Genomic DNA, 1867 nt, shown 5'->3' on the forward strand with positions numbered 1-1867 from the left:
GCTGGTGAGGAACTGCATTCCTTTGGAGGAGGAGAGGTGCCCTGCTTTTTAGAGTTTCCAGTTTTTCTGCTCTGTTTTTTCCCCATCTTTGTGGTTTTATCTACTTTTGGTCTTTGATGATGGTGATGTACAGATGGGTTTTTGGTGTGGATGTCCTTTCTGTTTGTTAGTTTTCCTTCTAACAGACAGGACCCTCAGCTGCAGGTCTGTTGGAGTACCCGGCCATGTGAGGTGTCAGTCTGCCCCTGCTGGAGGGTGCCTCCCAGTTAGGCTGCTCAGGGATCAGGGGTCAGGGACCCACTTGAGGAGGCAATCTGCCTGTTCTCAGATCTCCAGCTGTGTTCTGGGAGAACCTCTGCTCTCTTCAAAGCTGTCAGACAGGGACATTTAAGTCTGCAGAGGTTACTGCTGTCTTTTTGTTTGTCTGTGCCCTGCCCCCAGAGGTGGAGCCTACAGAGGCAGGGAGGCCTCCTTGAGCTGTGGTGGGCTCCACCCAGTTCGAACTTCCTGGCTACTTTGTTTACCTAAGCGAGCCTGGGCAATGGCGGGCGCCCCTCCCCCAGCCTCGCTGCCGCCTTGCAGTTTGATCTCAGACTGCTGTGCTAGCAATCAGTGAGACTCCGTGGGCGTAGGACCCTCCGAGCCAGGTGCGGGACATAATCTCCTGGTGTGCCGTTTTTTAAGCCCCTCGGAAAAGCGCAATATTCGGGTGGGAGTGACCCGATTTTCCAGGTGCCGTCTGTCACCCCTTTCTTTGACTAGGAAAGGGAACTCCCTGACCCCTTGCGTTTCCGGAGTGAGGCAATGCCTCGCCCTGCTTCGGCTCGTGCATGGTGCGCGCACCCACTGACCTGCGCCCACTGTCTGGCACTCCCTAGTGAGATGAACCCGGTACCTCAGATGGAAATGCAGAAATCACCCATCTTCTGCGTCGCTCACACTGGGAGCTGTAGACCGGAGCTGTTCCTATTCAGCCATCTTGGCTCCTCCCTCCCAGGTATTTCTTTATAGCAGTGTGAGAACGGACTAATACAAGGTGAATGCTTGGAGCAACCAATCCCAAATGTCCAAATTCAATATCAGTTCAGTTCCTCTAGTTATGACTAGTGTATCTCCTTAAACTTCACAAAAGATATTTGTTTTCTTACCTTTTGTATTTTACAGAATTTATTCAGGGTTCCTTTCTTGTACTCTACTTAAGTATGGACAAAACGTTCTTGAAATTTCAGGCAGAATGGTAATTTACATAAGAATGTCCTGATTTGTAGGAAATGCATGCTAAAGTATTTAGAGGTAAACTCATGATTCCTGCAATTTACTTTTAAAAAGTTCAGCAAAAATAAAATATATACATCTATTATTTATCTATGTAAGGCAAATATGGAAAAATGTTAACAATTGTTGATCTAAGTAGAGGGTATGTGGGTTTGCATTGTATAATTCTTCGAACTTTCTTGCTTAAAAAATTAAAAAAAATATCCTATAAAGAAACTTCTGGCCTAGATGGCCCCACCAGAGTTTTACCACGCAGTCAAATAACCTAATTATATATGCAGAGTAACTAATGTTTCAAGTAATTTTTGAACACAACACTCTGACTATAGATATTTAGTGAGATAAATTCTAAGGACAAGGAACCAGAAAGACATCTTAACTTTCCTCATTGTTTATTGTTAATAGTATTTTATTTTGAAATCATTTTATGCATATCATAGGATAAAGCAAATAACTATATTAATGTTTTTAGGAACCGATATTTTCACTATAAGAGAAAATAGTTAGAAATATGTTATGTTGATGGGAGATACCTAGAGGTTCTTGAGATTCTGTTTGTTTCCAGGTGAGCATGTAAGAATCACTGGCCTTG

General features: G+C 44.0%; 2 annotated features.

Annotated features, from left to right (window-relative positions):
- Positions 1-601: an enhancer, noted in NCBI's record as "H3K4me1 hESC enhancer chrX:129706680-129707280 (GRCh37/hg19 assembly coordinates)". NCBI's record gives its function as "activates a minimal SCP1, AML or CMV promoter by ChIP-STARR-seq in naive and primed H9 embryonic stem cells {active_cell/tissue: H9 hESC(naive and primed)}" and the evidence as "EXISTENCE:reporter gene assay evidence [ECO:0000049][PMID:30033119]".
- Positions 602-1202: an enhancer, noted in NCBI's record as "H3K4me1 hESC enhancer chrX:129707281-129707881 (GRCh37/hg19 assembly coordinates)". NCBI's record gives its function as "activates a minimal SCP1, AML or CMV promoter by ChIP-STARR-seq in primed H9 embryonic stem cells {active_cell/tissue: H9 hESC(primed)}" and the evidence as "EXISTENCE:reporter gene assay evidence [ECO:0000049][PMID:30033119]".

This window comes from Homo sapiens, chromosome X, assembly GCF_000001405.40.
Source record: "Homo sapiens chromosome X, GRCh38.p14 Primary Assembly".
Classification (NCBI taxonomy): Eukaryota; Metazoa; Chordata; class Mammalia; order Primates; family Hominidae; genus Homo; species Homo sapiens.